This window comes from Homo sapiens, chromosome 8, assembly GCF_000001405.40.
Source record: "Homo sapiens chromosome 8, GRCh38.p14 Primary Assembly".
In the NCBI taxonomy this organism is placed as follows: domain Eukaryota; kingdom Metazoa; phylum Chordata; class Mammalia; order Primates; family Hominidae; genus Homo; species Homo sapiens.
The window spans coordinates 88472162-88497947 of record NC_000008.11 but is presented as its reverse complement, the minus strand read 5'-3'; the positions used below and the strand labels follow the sequence as shown (position 1 = coordinate 88497947).

The 25786-nt window shown below is 35.6% G+C and overlaps 2 long non-coding RNA genes and 1 pseudogene across 6 annotated transcripts in view; 1 reads left to right on the top strand and 2 right to left on the bottom strand.

Moving 5' to 3' along the window:
- LOC105375629 (uncharacterized) overlaps positions 1–12248 on the top strand; it is a 113196-nt gene extending 100948 nt beyond the window's left edge. For both annotated transcript variants that reach the window (XR_928383.4, XR_001745651.3), the window contains one exon: positions 12115–12248. This is a non-coding gene — a long non-coding RNA (uncharacterized LOC105375629). The remainder of the gene's footprint in view (positions 1–12114) is intronic.
- The window catches only part of LOC105375630 (uncharacterized), a 559756-nt gene that overhangs the window by 389652 nt on the left and 144318 nt on the right, over positions 1–25786 (bottom strand). The window lies entirely within an intron of this gene.
- On the bottom strand, positions 11792–12972 carry RLIG1P3 (RLIG1 pseudogene 3; annotated as a pseudogene).

The following is a 25786-nucleotide window of genomic DNA, read 5'->3' as shown; positions in this document are numbered from 1 at the left end:
CTTTATTTATGGACTCTGAAATTTGAATATCATATGATTTTCTTTTTTATTATTTTATTGGCTTTTATTAATTTATTTATTTTTAAATTTATCTTTTATTTCATTAGGTTTCTGTGAAATAGGTGGTGTTTGGTTACATGAATAAAGTTCTTTAATGGTGATTTCTGAGATTTTGGTGCACCCATCACCCAAGCAGCGTACACTGTGCCCAATGTGTAGTCTTTTATTCCTCACCTCCCTCCCACCCTTTCACCCAAGAACCCAAAGTCCATTATATCATTCTTATGCCTTTGCGTCCTCATAGCTTAGCTCCCAATTATGAATGAGAACATATGATGTTTGGTTTTCCATTTCTGAGTTACTTCACTTAGAAGAATAGTCTCATTTTCTTATTTCATGAAATATTATTGTTCTTTGGATTTCTTTCAATCCTGAAAAATTTAAGAATTATTCTTAACTCAGGAGTCCTACAAAAACAAAAAGTAGGTTGGGATTGGCCCACAGCTATAGCTGTGAACCCCTGCTGAAGATTAAGCTACCTCTTGATCATAATGGTGGCAATCAGTAAGGATGGCTGTCAAGGCCTGATGCTTAGTCCCTGTATGAATAGCCATGTGTCAATTCCCAGAGGTATGAAGGTGGGAATCTATATTTTTTCTTTATTTTTTTACTTTGTGAATAAGTAAAATTTATGACTTCTGACCACAACTTGAAAATTTGAAAAAAATAACTTATTTAAGACAGTAAGAAACAAAAATTTTCCTATTTTGTATAAGCAAAATAGATGAGTACACATACATCAGTAAGTCAAGCAAAGATGATTCATAATTGCGATGAGTTCTACTCTCTCATTGCAATTATGTAAACTATTATTTGAAAAATGATACACAGATCCTGGCATACTTCCTCTAAGAACAATGGTAACACCTGCGAATTGCATCTATTTCCATGAGAAGAAAACCATACTTTCAGGTTGGTTACTAGGTAGTCTCAGTTTCCATACAGGAAATATTCTCAGTAGTTTGCATATTTGAAGATGTTCATTATGGCCTTTTTCATAATAGCTAAAGATTGAAAATATTCTAAATTTTCAAAACTAAACAATTGAAATAACGAAGTATTAAAAATAGAATTGAGCATGGTACTTAAGTGATTATAAAATTATGCTTATCATACTTGAAAACACTCACTGTCTTCTGGTTACAGTAATATGGCAGATTAATATTAGGTTGCTGCAAAAGTAATTGTGGTTCTTGCCATTACTTGCAGAAAATAATTACAGCAAAAGCCACAATTACTTTTGCACCAATCAAATAAAACCTGAAAACTATCCCCTAGGTACAACTAATAATCCCAGAAGAAGTACATCTTTTTCAATTGTTTAGGGGTACAATCAAGTATACAAGAAAAAACAATTTGTGCTCCAATAGTAAAGAAAGTATTGAAAAGCAGAGTAATTAATATGAAAACCTAGAAGGGGATTTATTTTTATTTTATTTTATTTTATTTTTGAAATGGAGTTTCACTCTGTTGCCCAGGCTGGAGTGCAGTGGGAGATCTTGGCTCACTGCAACCTCCATCTCCCGGGTTCAATCGATTCTCCTGCCTCAGCCTGCCGAGTAGCTGGGATTACAGGCACCTGCCACCACATCCATCTAATTTTTTTGAATTTTTGGTAGAGATGGGATTTCATCATGTTGGCCAGGCTGGTCTTGAACTCCTGACCTCAGGTGATCAGCCTGCCTTGGCATCCCAAAGTGCTGGGATTACAGGTGTGATCCACCGTGCCCGGCCTGGAAAGGGATTTATTGATCTTGGCACCTAAGGACTTGGGTGTTAACCTTAAGTAGAGGAATAAGAAAAGAAAGAAAGAAAATAACCGCAGATTTTAAAATCACTTAGGTTGTTTTTGAGTTTTTTGGCTTTCTTTAACAGTGATGAAAGTTAAAATTTTCCACACTAAGAGGCATTCTACCATACTGTATGCATTCCAACTCTCCATTAACAGTACTCTAGTAATTCTAAAGTCTTTTCAATCCCTCTTCTGCACTTCGCATTGTATTCATTGCCTTGGCATTGTGTTTATAACCAAAATATTCTCCCTCTTCAACTCTGTAAAGTCTGTTTATATAGCACCAGCCCAATGGTGTCTATTATTGCTGCTTAAAAAAAAAATGTTTCCAATGTGAAGTTCACAGTTTTTTAAAGATTTTAATCTTTGACTCACAATCTTTCAAGCTAATTTAGAAATATTCCACAAACTTTTCAGAAATGTCCTAAACAACATTAGGGAGAAATTTATTAAACTTTCACAGCACTCAGTACTGATTTATTCTTTAGTATTGAATATCCCTGAAACATCTACTCTAAGGAGTTCTACAAAAGGCTTGTCATTTGCCTTGGCAGGTTTTTTTTATTTTATTTATTTATTTATTTATTTATTTATTTATTTATTTATTTATTTTTTTTTGAGGCAGAGTCTTGCTCTGCTGCCCAGACTGGAGTGCAGTGGCGCGATCTCAACTCACTACAACCTCCATCTCCTGGGTTCAAGCAATTCTCCTGCCTCAACCTCCCGAGTAGCTGGGATTACAGGCATGTGCCACCACATGCGGCTAATTTTTGTATTTTCAGTAGTGACGGGGTTTCATCATTTTGGCCAGGCTGGTCTCAAACTCCTGGCCTCAGGTGATCTACCCGCCTCGGCCTCCCAAAGTGCTGTGATTACAGGCGTGAGCTGCTGTGCCGGTCTGCATGTTTTTTTTTTTAAACAAAATATATACTAGGATTGACCTGACTTGCAAAAATGGACTAATTAATGATTAATTTGGAAATGTTCACAAAATATTAAATACCTGATAATTATCAAGATGAAAAGGACCTGATAGCCTCAAATTATCAGCCGTGATTTGTCCTCATAAAACTCCAATAATCATAGGCTTTCACAAAGCTTTTCTTCATTATTGCCAAAAACTAGAGCACAAAATTATAGAGCAATTCTAACCAGATAAAGAATGTTTTCCTCCATTCAAAGTAGATTCTATTAAAGATAAAGAAATAAATGTGTGTTTTGCTAATTATTTTTTCAAAATGAAATATCATGTATCATTAGACAATCAGCCCAATGATAACTGACTAAAATTTCCTAATCAGAAAATATTCAGAATGTTGTATTAGTTGAAATTTAAATACGTAGTATATGGAAAATACAAATTATTTATGTAACAATTGTTTCTATTTATGTCTTTGGTCTTTTGTTAGTTTGAATAGGATGATGATTATGTATGCTGAATTGCCTGGCATTCATAATAGTCTGGTTAAAAATATTGATTGATTTACCAATGGCAGTGTCATCTATCACAAATAACTTCCAGCCGTTTCTAGGTCCTCCTCTCTATTTCAAGTCAGGTCCGTTGGCCTTCTTAATTTTCTCGTCTCATATTCAGTTATAGTTTTTAACTTCACGCCCATCCCTGAGTCTCTCCAACTCTAGCAAAAATTTCCTTGACAAGATTAATGATAAATGCCTACTTTCTGAGTGCAATCAATATTACTTTATGGTCTCTATATTAATTGATTTCTCTGTAGCATTTGATACTTTTGAGTCTTTGTCATTCATTACAGATAGTCGCTGACATAGGATGGTACAACTTAAGATTTTTTGACTTTATTATGGTAAGAAAGTGATACGTATTCAGTAGAAACTGTACTTTGGTGAGTGCCATACCACCATTCTGTTTTTCACTTTCAGTACAGTATTCAGTAAATTACATGAAATAGTCAACACTTAAGTATAAAATTGGCATTGTATTAGATGATTTTGCCCAAATGTAGGTTGATGTAAATCTGAGCACGTTTAACATAGGCTAGGCTAAGTGATGATGTTCAGCAGTTTAGGTGTATTAAATGCATCTTCAACTTATAATATTTTCAAGTTATGTTGAGTTAATCATGATGTAGCCCCATCATAAGTCGAGGAGCATCTGTACTTACTTCTCCCTTATTTAGAAACCACGTCTACATTTTTCTCCTGTTTCCAGGCCCTTTGTCTTGGTGGTCATGGAAGATGTCTCCCCTTTCACTAGCTTATTAGGTGTTGTTATCTCCTCAGCATCTCTTTTTGGCCTTCTTCTTTTATCTCTCTACATATTATCCCTGGGAAACATCCATCTATTGTTATGATTTCAAATGTCAACTACATGTCAGTAACTTGCAGATCTCTATCTGTCCTCAGCTTACTTCCAGGTACCAGAATCCTAATGCTTTACAATACTCAGGGTAGAGATAAAAGAAAACTTTTCATTATCAACAAGGATAATTCAAAAATATATATTTATAATGATGAGAAATTAGTAGTTATCAACTTCCAAAAATATTCAAGTATATATGAGGAGCTAGAAAGAAAAATTGCTGCAATTTACAAGGGATACTTATGAGGTTACAAATTTTTAATTTTCTTAAGATTTTCAGCAATTTTCTAAATTTCCTACAAGGAACATTGATCTTACAAAGGCTTGCTTAATATCAGTTTTGTTTACTGAATAAAATATAGCATTAATTTAACAGCATAAAACTCACAAAGCATTAAAGAAATATAATTAGGATTGAGAACTCTGTATGATCGCCATTCTTAAAAAATATTTTAGCAGCCAAAAAAGGGGTTACAATTTTTAAGTCTGTTGTTTTCTATCCAAGTGTTTATTTTCTCTGCCTGTATTTTCTATCAGCAGATATCATCATTTTAAACCATATGTTTTTGTCACAATGTTTACATAACCTATCTGCTCTACTGGTGACTAGCTATGTAGCCTTAACATATTTCTTAGCAATTTCTGACTCAGTTTCCTCATTTGCAAAGTGGGGCTGGTAATATCACATACCTCACAGGGTTGCAGTGAACATTAAATGAAATATTTGCTGCACATGTAATTCATAGCATTATTATTACTATTATTACACCTTAAGCAGATATACTAATTAAATTTTGATCTACTATCATATATGTATATATATCTTTATTCAATCCAGTTTATATTTTTATTTTTTATCTAAAAATTGAGCATCATAGTTCTATAATCATCATCAATACAACTAATATTGATATTTTACCATTTTTTCATTCAACAAACACATTGAATACATAGCTAATCACTATCAAGGGCACTTTGTTGAGTAAATATTCCAACTCATTTCATTTTTCACATAAAATGATGATTTTATTTATGTCAGCTTCCCCCATAACACTTAATAAGCATGTGCTACATTTACATTGAAGAAAAAAACTACAACTCCATTTTTAAATATAAAAAGTCAACATTGTTTTTAAATTTAGAAAAATCATCAGGGTGATGCTATGGTTGAAATAGAAGGTGAGAGATTCAACATGTTTTCATGTAAAAAATAAAACAAATTTAAACAGTGCATTGTATGCCTCAATTACTTTATTGATTACCTTGCTGAAAAGAATTTCTTTTTTTTTTGTACTTTAAGTTTTAGGGTACATGTGCACAATGTGCAGGTTTGTTACATAGGTATACATGTGTCATGTCGGTTTGCTGCATCCATTAACTCATCATTTACATTAGGTATTTCTCCTAATGCTACCCCTCCCCCTGCCTCCCACCCCACGACAAGCCCCCATGTGTGATGCTCACCGCCCTGTGTCCAAGTGTTCTCATTGTTCAATTCCCACCTATGAGTGAGAACATGCAGTGTTTGGTTTTCTGTCCTTGCGATAGTTTGCTGAAAATAATGGTTTCCAGCTTCATCCATGTCCCTACAAAGGACATAAACTCATTCTTTTTTATGTCTGCATAATATTCCATGGTGTATATGTGCCACATTTTCTTAATCCAGTCTATCATTGATGGAAATTTGGGTTGGTTCCAAGTTTTTGCTATTGTAAATAGTGCTGCAATAGACATACGTGTGCATGTGTCTTTATAGTAGCATGATTTATAATCCTTTGGGTATATACCCAGTAATGGGATTGCTGGGTCAAATGGTATTTCAAGTTCTAGATCCTTGAGGAATTGCCACACTATCTTCTACAATGGTTGAACTAGTTTACACTCCCACCAACAGTGTAAAAGTGTTATTTCTCCACATCCTCTCCAGCACCTGATGTTTCCTGACTTTTTAATGATCGCCATTCTAACTGGTGTGAGATGGTATCTCATTGTGGTTTTGATCCGCATTTCTCTGATGACCAGTGATGATGGGCATTTTTTCATGTGTCTGTTGGCTACATAAATGTCTTCTTTGAGTAGTGTCTGTTCATATTCTTTGCCCACTTTTTGATGGGGTTGTTTGTTTTTTTCTTGTAAATTTGTTTAAGTTCTTTGTAGATTCTGGATATTAGCCCTTTGTCGGATGGGTAGATTGCAAAAATTTTCTCCCATTCTGTAGGTTGTCTGTTCACTCTGATGGTAGTTTCTTTTGCTGTGCAGAAGCTCTTTAGTTTCATTAGATCCCATTTGTCTATTTTGGCTTTTGGCTTTTGTTGGCATTGCTTTTGGTGTTTTAGTCATGAAGTCCTTGACCATGCCTATGTCCTGAATGGTAATGCCTAGGTTTTCTTCTAGGGTTTTTATGGTTTTAGGTCTAACATTTAAGTCTTTAATCCATCTTGAATTAATTTTTGTATAAGATGTAAGGAAGGGAGCATTCCTATACACCAATACCAGACAAACAGACAGCCAAATCATGAGTGAACTCGCATTCACAATTGCTACAAAGAGAATAAAATACCTAGGAATCCAACTTACAAGGGATGTGAAGGACCTCTTCAAGGAGAACTATAAACCACTGCTCAACGAAATAAAAGAGGACACAAACAAGTGGAAGAACATTCTATGTTCATGGATAGGAAGAATCAATATTGTGAAAACAGTTGTACTGCCCAACGTAATTTATAGATTCAATGCTATCTCCCTCAAGCTACCAATGACTTTCTTTACAGAATTGGAAAAAACTACTTTAAAGTTCATATGGAACCAAAAAGAGCCCGCATTGCCAAGACAATCCTCAGCAAAAAGAACAAAGCTGGAGGCATCATGCTACCCAACTGCAAACTATACTACAAGGCTGCAGTAACCAAAACAGCATGGTACTGGTACCAAAACAGAAAGATAGACCAATGGAACAGAACAGAGGCCTCAGAAATAACACCACACATCTACAACAACAATCTTATCTTTGACAAACCTGACAAAAACAAGAAATGGGAAAAAGATTCCCTATTTAAAAAACGGTGTTGGGAAAACTGGCTAGCCATATGTAGAAAGCTGAAAATAACTTCAATAGAATTAGGAAAGTGAAAATGTGACCAGGTGACCAAAGTTATTTAATGAGGAAGTATAAACAATTATAATTAGAAATAAATTTTCCAAAGTTTGTTTACTGAAAATAAGGAGGGACTTAGAAGAGGATACATTGTGAACAGTTTTATGAGAATGCAGAATATGTGTGCATGTCTGTGTGTATGTGTGTGTGTAAGAGAGAAAGCAGGAGAATGTATGTTAGTGAAAGTAACAGACAACAGTTTTATGAGGATGCAGAATACACATGTGTGTGTTATGTGTGTGTATGTAAGAGAGACAGCAGGTGAATCTACGTGTGTGAAAGTAACAGATGTATTGTGTGTAAAAGTTTTTATGGAAGAGACTTGCGTCTCTTCCCCTTACGAGGGGAAGCATCTTCTGAGGAGGACATGTTTACTGATATTGCAGTTATAGGGTATAAATTGAAGTTTCAAAGTCCCAGAGGGTCAGAACAGTATACAACCAAGAGACAGTGTATACTTTGATATTTTAAAGAAGGAAGGGGTAAGAAAAATTGAAAATGTAGATACGCTGATATGAATAGCTGGGTGCTGGATGAACAATAAATTAATAAAATTCCTGACTAATGGCTCTCTGAAGAAGAAAGTAAAGCCACTATTGATCCTCAAGTAGATGTTCATTGCAACGGTCAGCAAAACTTTTATAAATGATTTTTTAGTAAATTAGAAAAAAACTTTGAACATAACATGTAGACAAATTTCTGAATAGCACTGAATGTCTACCTGGAGCTGGAGACCATACCTTTGAAATTGTATAAACCGGCATATTGATGCAATTTCCTTAATACAGCTATCTGGCATAATGCAGAAGTTGGGAAAGAGGAAAAGATAGTTATAAAGGTGGGTGCAGTGGAAGGAGCAACTCAGTGCCCTGTAAAACTGAACTGAGGTAGTAACAACAGAGAAGACAAGAGTTGGGATAAATTCAAAACAAATATATTTTGAACTATAGCGGACTGTGGAAAGGGGAGTTTTCTGGCTATGACTGAATGGATGTTAGAACCACTTACTGAATTGAGGAAGACAGGAGCTATAATGTGCCCATGGGCAAAATATCAAGAGTTCTATTTCAGACCTAATATAAGGAAACTTATGACTATGATTCAGAAAATGCATGGGAGGAAGACAAAATTGAAATCTTTGCAGAGGTTGTAAAATAGTACTGAAAAGTATGAATTGTGTGTTAAGGCAGGGCAGAGGCAATGAAAAGGAAAGATGAATGAGAATATTTAAGAAGTAAATATGACAGAATTTGGTTATTTATTGGGTAAGGTATTTTTAAAAGTGAAAGAATTCAGAATTTCAAGCTTGAGAACATGTGTGTTATATACTGAGTTTAAAACCAGAAAAATTACACATAAGTTGCAGATAATAGTTGGCTAGTCTCACCAATGTTGGTATGTCTAGGGTTCTTTCTTCAGCTCACTGCTCTTGCAACTCTGTATTCTCTATCTGGAGTCAATTATCTAGTCATAAGTTTTTTTTCCAGATAATAATTTTTTAAAATTATGTTACTACATGTTTAAGAACTAAAATAATACATACTCTTTGAACATATCTCCTGTGCCTGATTTTAATAACTTGGTATGTATCCTTCAATAATTTTCTATATGTTTACATATAAACTGACATAATCATAAATGTGTGATTACACTAACACTATATTGTAAAAATTACTTGGCAGATAATGTTTCCTAATAATCATATGTGGCTACTGCTCTTATTCCAATAAACTAAAGGTTTATTTTTTAATCAACCAATATTTATAGAGCACTTAATGTGTGCCAAACACAGTCCTATGCATGAGAAGTAGCACTTAGAATATACCACTGGATTTAGTTTGCTAATATTTCAACCTTTTATCTAACAAATTAATATGTACTTTTCTTATTATACTAAATAAGATTTTATATCAATTAACATAACATAACCAATCATTTTTGTCTTTTCTACAGTCTACATTGTTTTAAAATGCTGAAATACATAGTTTAAGGCCTTATTATATCTCAGTAAAAGATCATATGGCTTCGGTGTATTTAAAATAATATACCTTTTAACCACTTTCTGATTTCTTCTGTGGTTCTTATTCAAGTTTTTATTCATTTGTGGGATCAATTTAATTGTTTATATTTTGCTGGGGAAAATCTGTATTCTCATACTTATTGGCACATTATGTTACAAAACAGTTTTATTCTAAAACATCATTTTGACAGCTATAATTATTTATATCTCTTTTAATATTTAAAAAGTGGTGATCTTCAGGTTTTTAGTATATTTATCTCTTTGCCTTTATATGTATTTCATACTTTATTCCTTCCAGTTGCCTTTTCTTATTTACTATTCATTTTCTAGCTTCATAATTTGAATACTTAATTTAGGATTTTTTTTTTAACTTTTATTTTAAGTTCAGGAGTACGTGCGCAGGTTTGTTACATAGGTAAATTTGTGGCACAGGGTTTTTTTGTACAGATCATTTCATCACTCAGGTATTAAGCCTAGTACCCATAAGTTATTTTTCCTGATCCTCTCCTTCTTCCCACCTTCCACCCTCTGATAGGCCCCAGTGTGTGTTGTTCCCCGCTGTGTGTCAATGTGTTCTCATAATTTAGCTCCCACTTATAAGTGAGAACACCGGTATTTGGTTTTCTGTTCCTGCATTATTTTGCCTAGGATAATGGCCTCCAGCTCCATTCATGTCCTTGCAAAGGACATGATCTCATTTTTTTTTAGGATTAAACAGTAAATTTATTTTTTAATTATAACAAATATATGCCATTAGTATGTTCTTAAGTTTTGGGTCACATTGGCAACAGTGTCTTTAATTTGCTTTGAAATTCTTTTCAGTAATCTTAAGGTTATAGTTCACTTAAAAAATATATTTGCTATGTTTTACCTCCTTGAATACTGCAAACAGGACAAAAAAGCATGGATATAAGCGTTAGCTAGTGATCACTGACTACTCTAAACAGTCACTAAGGCTTGAATTCTCTCTTTACCAGATGCCTAATTGGCAGAAGTCCCAAAGGTTTCCCTGATCATATTAATAACTTTATAAAAAGTTGATCATTATTCATTAAAAATTAGACATTTGTAATGAAAACATAAATTAAGTCTAACCCAAAACTCTTAACCAGACTAACTTCAGTGTTATGAATCACAAAATCTTCTTGATTGATTGCTCTATTGAGAGGATCTTATGTGCTTTTAGAGAAAGATTAAATCCTGTTATAAGAGTTGATAAATTTTAGTCAAAGACTAGAACACAACTTACAAAATAGATAATTGGACTTGACAGTTAACAACTTAGTTATTTACACTGTACAATGGAGCAAACAAAAATCTTAATACTTCTGCCTTTATAGCTGTATCTGACCATTCAGGAATACGTTGGCTTTCATATTTACAGTTAAATCTCTTAGTTCAAGCCTAAAATATGTATATTTCCTATATGCAACTTTTAAAGATAATGTTTCTATTAGGAGGAAATAAAAAAGCTGAAAAAAGAACTCCAAAATTTTGATCCTTCATTTTTCAAAGAAATTGAAGATCTGAAGTATAATTACAAGGAAGAAGTGAAGAACAATATTCTCTTAGAAGAGAAGGTTAAAAAAAAAAAAAAACTTCCAGAACAATTGGGAGTTGAATTAACTAGCCCTGTTGCTGCTTCTGAAGAGTTTGAAGATGAAGAAGAAAGTCTTGTTCATTTCCCCATTTACTAAAGGTCACCTATAAACTTTGTTTCGTTTAAATATTTATTAACTTTATATGTTAAAATCGATCTGGAAATAAGAAATTCTCTGAGCTGTAGTGTTTCCTTCTCACTACCTTGTACCTTTATACTTAGATTGGAATTCTTAATAAATAAAATTATATGAAATTTTCAACCTATTATAAACGTATATATTTGAAGACTTAGAGTAAGTTATGGCCATCAAATAGGCAATGAGCTCTGGTGAATTTCTCTACATTCATAAAGTTTTAAGTTTTTTAAAGAGCATGAGGGTAAATTCAGCAATTTTAATATTTAAAATTGGAGTTTATATATACTTATTTATACATATGGTAAGATTCTCAAATCCTAACTATGATGTACATAAATACAGATGTAGACATACACACATATAGGTTATGAAGTTGAGCCATATGTTTTGTTAAATACCTAGCAAAATCAAATTGAGCTTAAACTATGTAATTTTGAAAATTAGTGACATTAAATTCTTGGTTTAATTGTTGTCTTTAAATTACCACTCAATTATAGTGGAGAGAATCCAGCCTTTGTACAAGCTTAGGAGCTTACTGTTACTTATGTTTTTATGGCTAGAGATTAAAATTAATTTGCTGGTTTTTAATAAAATTTTAAATAGATATTTGAAACTGGAAAATTCATTTCTTCACAAATGGTAGAAGACAAATTGATGTTTCATAATGAACAGGAACCTTGAGATATTCTTAAACATGGTAGAATATTCAAGATTAAAATATAATGATAATAAAATAATTTTATTTGCATTTTATATATCAAATATTATATCTTTGAGTCTAGCAAATTTCTGATTATGTACTTTTGAAAAATGATTAAACAAACACTTAACATCAAGGCAGAGTCACATTTTTTCAGGTACACGTTGATAATAACTGCTCTTGAATTCATGTAAGTATCTTGAATTGACCAGCATAAGCCAAGATGATGACGATGGACCCTGTTTTTTTTTTCATAGCTGTTCTTCTCCTGACATATTACACATTTGTTTATTGTCTACCTTCCCCATCAGAATGTGAGCTTCATGAAGGCAGACACCTTGTTTGGTTGACTGTGTATGTCCAGCACCTTTATTAACAGCCATCACTGCGATGCCATACTATTCCTTCAATTTTACCCACTGCAACCTTCAAACCAGGACATGATATCATTGTGCTTCAACGAAGGTAGATTTCTTATTTGAAACGCTCCATGTGGTATAAGAAGATGTAATGGATGTTTCTTGCTCCCTAACGCATATGGGTTTCCATTGATATTTTTTCCTGTGATCTCCAGTGTTTGTTCTAAGAGATCTGATAGTGGCACTGCAGTAATTTCCAAAAGTCCAGAATCATCAGCATGATGTTTTAGTACCAGGGCAATTTCAAATTCATAATTAACTACAGAGGAATGCTAGCAATACTGTTTGTTGTTTTTCTATACTGGTACCCAATCAGGAATGTATCTATTTTCATTAGGCACTGGGTTCCTATTTATTTGTTCTATTTCCTTTGCCTGGTATCCAGCACTCTAGAGCCGGTTTGAAGTCCTCCTCAACATTCCAAAAAAAATTATTTTGGGTTTTCATTTGAATGTAGAAGATTTTAAAATCTTTTTTCAACTTGTTTGTTGAGCTTTCTATCTAGCTGGGCCCAAAGCTATGGCTGATCTGATGTTCCCTTTTGGCAGAAGGCTCCTCTTTCACCGCCGTCACAAACACACGGCATTTTCCACTGCACAGAGCTCAAGCGCTTCATGAGTGGAGGGCGCGCTTTCGAACAGCGCCTGGTGCAGGCGGGGAGAAGCCCTGGAGCAGTCACCCGTGGGGCTCAGGCCACTCACACTCCATGCCCAGCCACCGCAGCTGCTGATCTCATTCTTTTTTTATGGCTGCATAGTATTCCATGGTGTATATGTACCGCATTTTCTTATCTGCTCTATCACTGATAGGCATTTAGGTTGATTCCAAGTATTTGCTATTGTGAATAGTGCCGCAATGAACATACACGTGCATGTGTCTTTACAATAGAGTGATTTATATTCCTTTGGGTATATACCCAGCAATGGTATGGGTATATACCCAAAGGAATTGCTGGATATATACCCAAAGGAATATAAATCACTCTATTTTATTATAATTGTTATTTCTGTCTTTAGGACTTTGAAAAATCGCCACACTGTCTTCCACAATGGTTGAAATAATTTACAATCCCACTAACAGAGCAAAAGTGCTCCTTTTTCTCCACAGCCTCACAAGCATGTGTTATTTTTTGACTTATTAGTAATAACCATTCTGACTGGTGTGAGATGGTATCTCATTGTGGTTTTGATTTGTATTTCTCTAATGATCAGTGATGTTGAGCTTTTCTTCATATCATTGTTGGTCACATGTATGTCTTCTTTTGAGAAGTGTCTGTTCATAACCTTTGCCTACTTTTTAATAGGGTTATTTGTTTTTTTCTTCTTGTAAATTTGTTTAAGTTCTTTACAGATGCTGGATATTAGGTCTTGTCAGATGCACAGATTGCAAATATTTTCTCCCATTCTGTAGGTTGTCTGTTTACTCTTGATAGTTTCCTTTGCTATGCAGAAGCCCTCTAGTTTAAATAGATACTATTTGTCAATTTTTGCTTTTGTTGCATATGCTTTTGGAGTCTTCATCATGAAATCCTTTCCCATGTGTATGTCTTGGATGGTATTGCCTAGATTGTCTACCAGGGTTTTCATAGTTTTGGGATTTACATTTAAGTCTTTATTCCATCTTGAGTTAATTTTTTGTATGTAGTATAAAGAAGTGGTCCAGCTTCAGTCTTCTGCATACGGCTAGCCAGTTATCCCAGGACCATTTATTGAATAGGGAGTACTTTTCCCATTGCTTGTTTTTGTCAGGTTTGTTGAAGATCAGATACTTGTAGCTGTGCAGTCTTATTTCTGGGTTCTCTACTCTGTTCCATCGGTCTATGTGACTGTTTTGTATCAGTACAATGCTGTTTTGATTACTGTATCCCTGTAGTATTGTTTGAGGTCATGTAGCATGATCCCTCCAACTTTGTTCTTTTTGCTTAGGATTGCCTTGGCTATTTGGACTCTTTTTTGGTTCCATATGAATTTTAAAATAGTTTTTTTTTAAGTTTTGTGAAGAATCTCATTGATAGCTTAATAGGAATAACATTGAATCAATAAATTGCTTTCAGCAGTATGGCCATTTTCACAATATTGATCCTTCCTATCCATGAGCATGGAATGTTTTTTCATTTTTTTATGTTATCTCTAATTTCTTTGAGCAGCTTTTGTATTTCTCCTTGTAGAGATCTTTCACTTCCCTGTATTCCTAGGTATTTTATTCTTTTTGTGGCAATTGTGAATGAGAGTGCATTCTTGATTTGGCTCTCAGCTTGACTGCTGTTGGTGTATAAGTATGCTAGCAATTTTTGTACATTGATTTTGAATCCTGAGACTTTACTGAAGTTGTTTATCAGCTTAAGAAGCTTTCAGGCTGAGACTATGGGGTTTTCTAGAAATAGAATCTTGTCATCTGCAAAAAGAGATAGTTTGACTTCCTCTCTTCCTATTTAGATCTCCTTTTTTTTTTTTTATCTTGCCTAATGGCCCTGGCAAGGACTTCCAGGAGTGGTAAGAGAGGGCATCCTTGTTTTGTGCCGGTTTTCAAGGGGAAGCTTCCGGATTTTGCCCATTTAGTATGATGTTGGCTGTGGGTTTGTCATAGATAGCTCTTATTATTTTGAGGTATGTTCCTTCAATACTTAGTTTATTCAGAGTTTTTAACATGAATGGATGTTGAATTTATCGAAAGGCTTTTCTCCATCTATTGAAATAACCATGTGGTTTTTGTCCTTAGTTCTGTTTATGTGATGAATCACATTTATTGATTAGCCTTTGTTAAACCAATCTTGTATGCCAGGGATAAAATCTACTTGTTCATGCTGGATAAGCTTTTTTATGTACTACAGGATTCAGTTTGCCCATATTTTGTTGAGGATTTTTGCATTGAATCCAGGCTACTGGCCTGAAGTTTTCTTTTTTGTTGTATCTCTGTCAGGCTTTGGTATTAGGATGATGCTGACCTCACAGAATGACTTAGAGAGGAATCCCTTCTCCTGAATTGTTCAGAATAGTTTTAGTAGAAATGATACCAGCTCTTCGTCATACATCTGGTAGAATTCAGCTGTGCATCCATCTGGTATGGGCTTTTTTTAGTTGGTAGGCTATTTATTACTGCCTCAATTTTGGAGCTTGTTATTGATCTTTTCAGGATTTAATTTCTTCCTGGTTTATTCTTGGGAGGGTGTATATGTTCAGGAATTTATCCATGTATTCTAGATTTTATAGTTTATGTGCATAGAGGTATTCATATTTTCTGATGGTTGTATTTCTTGTGTGGTCAGTGGTAATACTTGAATCTTCTCTCTTCTCTTCTTAGTGGTCGTAGCTACTGGCCTATTTTATTTATTTTAAATAACAGCCCCAGGATGTATTGATCTTTTGTATGGTTGTTCATATCTCAATCATCTTCAGTTCAGCTCTCATTTTGGTTATTTCTTGTCTTCTTCTAGCTTTGGAATTCATTTGCTCTTGGTTCTCCAGCTCCTTTAGTTGTGATGTTAGGTTGCTAACTTGAGATATTTCTAATTTTTGATGAGGGCATTTAGTGTTATAAATTTCCCTCTTAACACTCCCTTACCTCTGTCCCAGAGATTCTAGTACATTGTATCTGTGTTCTCATTAGTTTCAAAGAACTTATTGATTTCTGCCTTAATTTCATTATTTACCCAAAAGTCATTCAGGACCAGGTTATTCAATTTCCATGTAATTGTATGGTTTTGAGTGAACTTCTTAGTCTTGAATCTAATTTTGTTGTGCTGTGGTCTGAGAGACTGTTATAAGTTATTTTGCATTTGCTGAGGAGTGTTTTTACTTTCAATTATGGGGTCAGTTTTAGAGAATGTGCCATGTAGCAATGGCAAGAATGTATATTCTTTTGTTTTGGGGTGGAGAGTTCTGTAGATAGCTATCAAATCCATTTGTTCCCATTCTGAGTTCAGGTCCTGAATATCTTTGTTAATTTTCTGTCTCAATGATCTGTCTAATATTGTCAGTGGGGTGTTAAAATCTCCCACTATTATTCTGTGGGAGTCTAATTCTCTTTGAAGGTCTCTAAGAACCTGTTTTATGAATCTGGGTGTTCCTCTCTTGGGTGCATATCTATTTAGGATAGTTAGATCCTCTTGTTTAATTGAACTCTTTAACATTATGAAATGTCCTTCTTTTTCTTTTTTGATCTATGTTCAACGTCTGTTTTGTCAACAACTAGGATTGCAGCCCCTGTTTTTTCTGTTTTCCATTTGCTTGATAGATTTTTCTCCATCCCTTTATTTTGAGACTATTTGTGTCATTGCACGTGAGATGTGTCTCTTGAAGACAGCATACTAATGGGTCTTAGTTCTTTACTGAGGTTGCCCCTCTGTGTCTTTTAAGTGGGGCATGTAGCCCGTTTACATTTAAGGTTAGTATTGATATGTGTGGATTTTATCCTGTCACCATGATGTTAGCTGGTTATTTTGCAGACTTGTTCATGTGATTGCTTTATAGTTACTGGTTTGTGTACTTCAGTGTGTTTTGGTTAGGGCTGGTTACAGTCTTTCCTTTCTATATTTAGTACTTCTTTCTGGAACTCTTGTGAGGCAGGTCAGAGACCAGTGATATTGTAAAGGAACCACATAAACAAGTCTGCAAAATAACCAGCTAACATCATGATGACAGGATCAAATCCACACAAATCAATACTTACCTTCAATGTAAATGGGCTACATGCCCCACTTAAAAGACACAGAGTGGCAAGCTTAATTAAGAACCAAGACCCATTAGTATGCTGTCTTCAAGAGACACATCTTATGTACAGTTACACAAATAATCTCAAAACAAAGTGATGGACTACATGAAAATATGTAAAGAGATTACTCATGCTAACTCTTCAACCATCAAGGATTTCCTTTCTGCCTTTTTCTAAATCAAAATATAGTTATATAGTTATGTGTCACTTCATGACAGGGATACATTCTGATAAATGCATTGTTAGGCTTTTTATTTTTGTTTGAGCATCATAGAGTGCACTTACACAAACCTAGATGGTATAGCCTATTGTACATCTGGGCTATATGGTATAGCCTATTGCACCTAGGCTACAAACCTGTGCAGCATTTTACTATACTGAATACCACAGGCAATTGTAACATAATGGTAAGTTTTTGTGTTTATAAACATATCTAAAGATAGAAAAGGTACTGTATAGATGCAGAATAAAAGGCAAAAATGGTACACCTTTATAGGGAACTTACCATGAATGGAGCTTGCAGAACTGGAAGTTGCTCTGGATGTGTCAGTGAGTGGTGAATGAATGTGAAGGCCTGGTACATTGCTGTACACTACTGTAAACACTGTGCAATAAGGCTACACTAACTTTAATATTGGAATTTTTTTCTTCAAGTTTTATTTTAAGTTCAGGGGTGTATGTGCAGGATGTGCAGGTTTGTTACATAAATAAATGTGTTCCATAATGTTGTGCTGCACAGATCATCCCATCACCTAGGTATTATGCCCAGCATTGATTAGTATTTTTCCTGATGCTCTCCCTCCCCCTACTACTCCCCTCAACAGGCCGCAGTGTGTGTTGTTCCATGAACCATGTGTCCCTGTGTTCTTATTGTTCAGCTCCCACTTGTAAGTGAAAACATTCAGTGTTTGGTTTTCTGTTCCAGAGGATACTGAGGCTAATGGCTTCCAGCTCCATCCATGTCCCTGCATGATCTTGTTCCTGTTATGTCTGCTTTTATTCCTTTTATGTTCCTTTTATTCCATGGTGTATATGTACCACATTTTCTTCATTCAGTCTATCATTGATGGGCATTTGAGTTGATTCCATGTCTTTGCTATTGTGAATATTGCCGCAATGAAGATACCCATACATGTATCTTTATAATAAAATGATTTATCTTTCTCTAGGTATATACCTAGTAATAAGATTGATGGGTTAATTGGTGCTTTTGCCTCTAGATCTTTGAGGAATCACCACACTGTCTTCCACAATGGTTGAACTAATTTACACTCCCACCAAAAATGTAAAAGCATTCATTTTTCTCCACACCTTGCCAGCAACTGTTATATTTTTTACTTTTTAATAATACCCATTCTTACTGGCATAAGATGGTATCTCGTTGTTTTGATTTGCATTTCCCTAATGATCAGTGATATTGAGCTTTTTTCATATTTTTTGGCTGTATATATGCCTTCTTTTGAGAAGCGTATGTTCATGCCCTTTGCCAACTTTTGAATAGGGTTGTTTTTTCTTGTGAATTTAAGTTTCTTGTAGACTGGATATTAAACCTTTGTCAGTTGGATAGATTGCAAAAGTATTCTCCCATTCTGTAGGTTATCTCTTTGCACTGATGATAGTATCTTTTTCTGCACAAAAGCTCTTTAGTTTAATTAAATTCAATTTGTCAATTTTGGTTTTTGTTGCAACTGCTTTTGGCATTTTTGTGATGAAATCTTTTCCTGTACCTATGTCCTGAATGATATTGTCTAGATTTTCTTCTAGGGTTTTTATAGTTTTGGATTTTACATTTAAGTTTTTAATCCATCTTGAGTTAATTTTTGTATAAGGTATAAGGAAGGGGTCCAGTTTCAATTTTCTGAACATGGCTAGCGAATTCTCCCAAAACCATGTACTACATAGGGAATCCTTTCCCCATTCCTTTTGTCAGGTTTGTCAAAGATCAGATGGCTGTAGCTGTGTGGTCTTATTTATGAGTTCCCTATTCTGTTCCATTGGTTTATGCATCTGTTCTTATATGAGTACCATACTGTTTTGGTTACTGTTGCCTTGTATTGCAGTTTGAAGGTAACATGATGCCTCAGCTTTGTTCTTATTGCTTAGTATTGTTTTGGCTATTTGGGCTCTTTCTTGGATCCATAAGAATTTTAAAATAGTTTTTCTAATTCTGTGAAAAATGTCACTGGTAGTTTAATGGGAATAGCATTGAATCTATAAATTACTTTGGGCAGTATGGCCATTTCCATGATATTGATCCTTCCTATTTATAAGTATGGAATGCTTTTCCATTTGTTTGTGTTGTGTTCTTTCTGATTTCTTTGAGCAGTGGTTTGTAGTTCTCCTTGAAGAGGTCCTTCACTTCCCTTGTTAGCTACATTCCTAGGAATTTTAGTCTTTTTGTAGCAATTGTGAATGGGAGTTCATTCATAATTTGGCTCTTGGCTTGTCTGCTCTTGCTGAATAGAAATGTTAGCAATTTTTGCACACTAATTTTGTATCCTGAGACTTTGCTGAGGTTGCTTATCAGCTTAGAAAGCTTTTGAGCTGAAACAATGGGGTTTCCCAGACATAAGATCATGTCATCTGTAAACAAAGATAATTTGACTTCCTCTCTTCCTATTTGAATATCCTTTATTTCTTTTTCTGGCCTGATTGCCCTGGCAAGAATTTCCAATATTGTGCAGAATAGGAGTGATGAGAGAGGGCATTCTTGTCTTGTGCCTTGTCTTGTGCCAGTTTTCAAGGGGAATGCTTCTAGCTTTTGCTCATTCAGTATGATATTGGCTATGGGTTTGTCATATATGGCTCTTATTATTTTGAGGTATGTTCCTTCAATACCTAGTTTATTGAGAGTTTTTAACATGAACTAATGTTGAACTTTATTGAAGGCCTTTTCTGCATATATTGAGATAATCATGTGGTTTTTGTCTTAAGTTCTATTTATATGATGAATCACATTTATTGATTTGTGTATTTTGAACCAACCTTGCATTATGGGGATGAAGCCAACTTGATTGTGGTGCATAAGCTTTTTTATGTGCTGCTGGATCTGGTTTGCCTGTATTTTGTTGAGGATTTTTGCATTGATGTTCATCAGGGATACTGGCCTGAAGTTTTCTTTTTTTGTTGTATCTCTGCCAGGTTTAGGTATCAGGATGATGCTGACATCATAAAATGAGTTAGGGAAAATTCCCTTGTTTTCAATTTTTTGGAATAGTTTTAGTAGAAAGGGTACCAGCTCTTCTTTTTACCACTGGTGGAATTCAACTCTAAATCCATCTTGTCCTGGGGTTTTTTGGGGTTGGTAGGTTATTTATTACTGCCTCAATTTCAGTACTCATTATTGTTCTATTCGGGATTCAATTTCTTCCTGGTTCAGTCTTGGGAGAGTGTCCAGGAATTTAACTATTTCTTCTAGATCTTCTAGTTTATATACATAGAGGTGTTGATAGTCATCTCTGATGGTTCTTTGTATTTCTGTGGGGTCAGTGGTAATATCCCCCTTGTCATTTCTGATTGTTTATTTGATTTGTCTCTTTTTTCTCCTTTGTTATTCAAGCTAGCCATCTATTTTATTAATTTTTTCAAAAAACTGGCTCCTGAATTCATTTTTTTGAAGTGGTTTTCATGGTTCTATCTTCTTTAGGTCCAACTCTGATCTTGGTTATTTCTTGTCTTCTGCTAGCATTGGGGTTTCTTTGCTCTTGGTTCTATAGTTCTTTTAATTGTGATGTTAGGTTGTTAACTTGAGATCTTTCTAGCATTTTGATGTGGGCATTTAGTGCTATAAATTTCCCTTGTAACATCACGTTAGCTGTATTCCACGTATTCTGGTATGTTGTCTCTTTGTTCTCATTAGTTTCAAAGAACTTCTTTATTTCTGCCTGAATTTCATTATTTACTCAGGAGTCATTCAGGAGCATATTGTTCAATTTCCATGTAGTTGTGTGGTTTTGAGTGAATATCTTAATTTTGACTTCTAATTTTGTGCTATGGTCTGAGAGACTGTTTGTTATAATTTCATTTCTTTTGCATTTGCTGAGGTATGTTTTACTTTTAATTATGTTATCAATTTTTGAGTAAGTGCTGTGGCAATGAAAAGAATACATATTCTGTTGTTTTTGTGTAGAGGGCTCTGTAGATATCTATGAGGTCCACTTGATCCAGAGCTTAGTTCAGGTCCTGAATATCTTTGTTAATTTTCTGTCTTAATGATCTGTCTGATATTGTCAGTGGGGTATTAAAATCTCCCACTATTATTGTGTGGGGGTCTAAGTCTCTTTGTAGTTCTCTAAGAACTTGCTTTATGAATCTGAGTGCTCCTATATTGGGTGCATATATATTTAGAATAGTGAACTCTTCTCGTTGAATTGAACCCTTTACCACTATTTAATGCCTTTCTTTTCCCTTTTGATCTTCGTTGGTTTAAATCTGTTGTGTCTGAAACTAGGATTGTGATCCCAGCTTTTTCTGTTTTCCATTTGCTTGATAAATTTTTCTCCATCCCTTTATTTTGAGCTTATGTGTGTCTCTGCACATGACATGGGTCTCTTGAATACAGCAGACCAAGAAGTCTTGGTACTTTATCCAGCTTGCCATTCTGTGCTTTTTAATTTAGGCATTTAGCCCATTTACATTTAAGGTTAGTATTGTTATATGTGAATTTGATCCTATCATCATGATGCTAGCTGGTTATTTTGTAGACTTTTTTATGTAGTTGCTTCATAGTGTTACTGGTTTGTGTACTTCAGTGTGTTTTGGAAGTGGCTGATAATGGTCTTTTCTTTCCATATTTAGTGCTTCCTTCAGGAGCTCCTGTAAAGCAGGTCTGGTGGTAAAAAAATTCCCTCAGCATTTGCTTGTCTGAAAAGGTCATAATTTCTCCTTCGTTTATGAAGCTTAGTTTGGCTGAATATGAAATTCTTGGTTGGAATTTATTTTCTTTACGAATGTTGAATATTGAATGTTGAATGTTGGCCCCTAGTATCTTCTGGCTTTAGGGTTTTAGCTGAAATGTCTGCTGTTAGCCTGATGAGCTTCCCTTTGTAGGTGACCTGATCTTCCTTTCTCCCTAGCTTCCTTTAACACTTTTTCTTTCATTTTGACCTTGAAAAATCTGATGATAATATGTCTTGGGGATGATCTTCTTGTGAAGTATCTTACTTGGGGTCTCTGCATTTTCTAAATTTAAATGTTGGCCTCTCTAGCTAGGTTGGGGAAGTTCTCATGGATGATATCCTAAAATATGTTGTCCAAATTGATTCCATTCTCCACATCTCTTTTGGGTACACTAATCAGTCTTAGATTGGATCTCTTTACATAATCCCAGATTTCTTGAAGGTTTTGTTCATTCCTTTTCACTCTTTTTTTCCCTCTTTTTGTCTGCCTGTGTTATTTCAGAAAGCCAGTCTTCAAGTTCTGAGATTATTTTTTTCTGTTTGGTCTAGTCTCCTATTAATGTTTGTCATTGCATTGTGAAGTTCTTGTAGTGTGTTTTTTTGGCTCTATCAGGTCAGTTACACTCTTTTCAATGCCAGCTAGTTTGTCTGTATTTTTTTTATCATAATTGATAGTTTTCTTGTATTGAGTTACAATGTATTACTGTAGCTCAATGTAGTTCATTTCTATTCACATTCTAAATTATATTTCTGTTATTTCAGCCATCTCAGCATCAGCCCAGTTCTGAACACTTGCTAGAGAGATGATGTGGTCATTTGAGTAAAAAAGGGCACTTAGGCTTATTGATTTTTTGGTGTTCTTGAGCTTATTCTTTCTCATCTTTGGGGGCTTATCTGCCTTCAATCTTTGAGATTGTCATTGCTGACATTTAGATTTTTTTCCCTTTAATCCTATTTGATGACCTGAAGGATTTGATTGTAGATTTAGGTGGAATCAGACAACTGGCTTCATTTCTGGGAAATTTTAGGGGGCCAATGCTAAGCTCCAAACTCCTGGGCTTTTCCCAGTTGGGCAATTTTCCAACTGTGGGAAAATTGTATTGGGCCCTGATGTTCTCTGGCTCCTTGAGGTTTGGCATCCATTGCACTTGGGGAAGGTTGAGATGCAGCAGCGGCAGCAGAGTGCTAGTGGATACAGGGGGGCCTGCCTTCCTGCAGGAATTCACCACAGCAGCTGAGACAAGGCACCTGGAGGGAAAGCAGGGGACCCCTGCTAGAGACTGTGCATGTCGTTGCACTGGGGATTGTGTTGGCTTGGGACAGGGTACTGGCCTATGCAGGTCTGGGTGACTTCACTGTGCCTCACAAGCAGGAGTGATTGCTTGGCATGTTGAGGATACTGTTCTCTCTGCACAGCATTAGCCCAAGGGTAGGGAACTGTCAGGGGCAGGTCTTGCTCACTCTGTGACCCCCAAGGCTGCATCTGCAATGACAGTCTGCAGGGGTTGAGTGGCATATTTCACTTCTACATGCTGGCAGGGCAAGTAAAGCAAACCTGCTAATGCAGACATGCACCGGCAAAGTGATGTGGGGAGTTGCCATGGGCTCAGGAGAAGCTACAGTATGGGGAGGAAATATGTGGGCTGGTGTGCAGCCATAGGGGCCACCTTGCTTCTGCTGGTACAGAAGCTGCCCTGTAAGTAGGCATGACCAGGCTGGGGTCCTGGGGGAGACCAGCAGAACAACAAGTGCTCAGGTCAGACCAGCCCCATCTGATACATGACCATCCTGCAGAGATCAGGCCCAACAGTTCCCTAGGGCTAAAATCTCCCACAGGAGTAAGTCAAGTCTAGAAGGATGGCCGTCCGTGGCCATGCTCTGCTCCGGATGCTCCTGCACCAAACCCTCTGGGCTCCACGTCAGATGGCTTGCTGTCCCACCACTTCTCTAAGCATCTCTCTCTGCCACCTCAAATGTCCATAGTGGTCAAGGGGTTCCCTCCTGCTGGAGGTCCAGAGTCCTGTGGTGAGAGTGGGTTGCTCCTTGTCAGTTCAACTCACCCATACTCCCTGAGCTGTTGTGGTTCAAAAATGAGTCCCAATGCACAATAGCCTGTTGTGTGAGTTTCCCAGCTTTCTCACCCTTCAGCCCAGCTTCTGTGTCTCCCCTCCGTCTACTTGAAGTGCCTTCCCTCTGAAGATCTTTTAAAAGCACACCAGTTGACTCAGTCCCTTCGTGGGAGCTGTTCCACTTGTCTGTGTCTAGTCAGCAATCTTGCCCCCCCAAAAACATATGATTGTTCCTATATTAATAACAAAGCAATGTAAGGAATTTTAGATTTGAGAAATATAATGACTTATAATTAAAAAGCAATACCTCTATAATGCAGCAAAATGCTCTCATATTAAATATTCAAATATCTCTAGGGAAAAGTTGTATTGGTTTACCAGTGTTGACCATTTGAATATAATTGCTATAGCTGGGAATTTTCAGGAATACATTTCTTAGTGGTGTTGTAGATGTTGTCCATGGTTTTTTATTTTGCTATCTTGATGCTCTTTTTCTATGTGGGTAATTAGAGATATTGAAAAACAATGCTGATGCTGTCCTCTTCCCAAAGTCCTCTATAACTTTTATAGTGACTTATCACTTTTATAAGTCACTTGTGGTCATTTTCACTGGGTACAGAATTCTAATTTGTTAGGAATATCTTCCCTACTACATTAAATATATTGTTTTACTGCCTTCTAGCTTTAAACATTTCTATTAAAAGCCAGCTGCCAATATTACTCTTGGAAGCAATGAAAGTAGCAACTGAGTCAAAAATAAGAGAACCTCAAAATGCTAACAGGCACTCATAACAAATTATGGATAGGCAATATGAGAACAGTGATTGAACAGGGAGGAATTTTGCCCTCTCTACCAGAAGGTGAGTACAAGAAACATGACATAGGAAGGTTTAACAGGTTGGAGCATTTTGGCCCATTAACTCTCAAAATTTATCAACCAAATCTCTCTTCCATGACAGAACCATCACACAGAAGAAAATAATGCAAATAGAGTCAAAACTGAGTAAGAGAAGAACAGGATAGATGAAGAAAAGAGAACGTTCAGACCATAATGCAAAAAGATAAAAGTATCAACAAACCTCTGAAAGCAAACTGCCATGTAATATAATATTACCAAAACCACAAAGAGAGAGCTCTATTAAAGTAAATGAAATTTCCTGAACCCAATCCTGATCTGAAATTTAGAATAATATATGTAAAAATAAGCAATATGAGATTATCAAAATATAATCTGTACAAAATTATCATTTTAAAAATATACTAAGAAGCAAAATAAAATTTGCTATGGTCTGGTTCTGTGTCCCCATCCAAATCTCATCTTGAATTGTAATCCCCATGTGTTGGGGAAGGGACCTGGTGGGAGGTAATTGAATCATCAGACTCATTCCCTCATGCTATTCTTATAATAGTGAGTGAGTTTTCATGAGATCTGATTGTTCTATAAGAGGCTTTTCCTCTTTTGCTTGGCACTTCTATCTCCTGCTGCCATGTGAAGAGTGATGTGTTTGCTTCCTCATCTGCCATGATTGTAAGTTTCCTGAGGCCTCCACAGCCATGTGGAACTGTGAGTCAACTAAACCTCTTTCTTTTATAAATTACCCAGTCTCAGGCAGTTCTTTATAGCAGTGTGAGAATGGACTAATACAGTAAATTGGTATGGCAGAGAGTAGGGTCTGCTATAAGGATATCCAAAAATGTGGAAGTGACCTTGGAAATGGCTAACAGGTGGTGGTTGGCATAGTTTAAAGGATGAAGAAGAAGACAGAAAAATGTGGAAAATTTTGCAACTTCCAAGAGACTGGTTAAATGGCTTTGACCAAAATGCTGAGAGTGATATGGGCAATAATGTCCAGACTGAGATGGTCTCAGACGGAGATGAGGAACTTG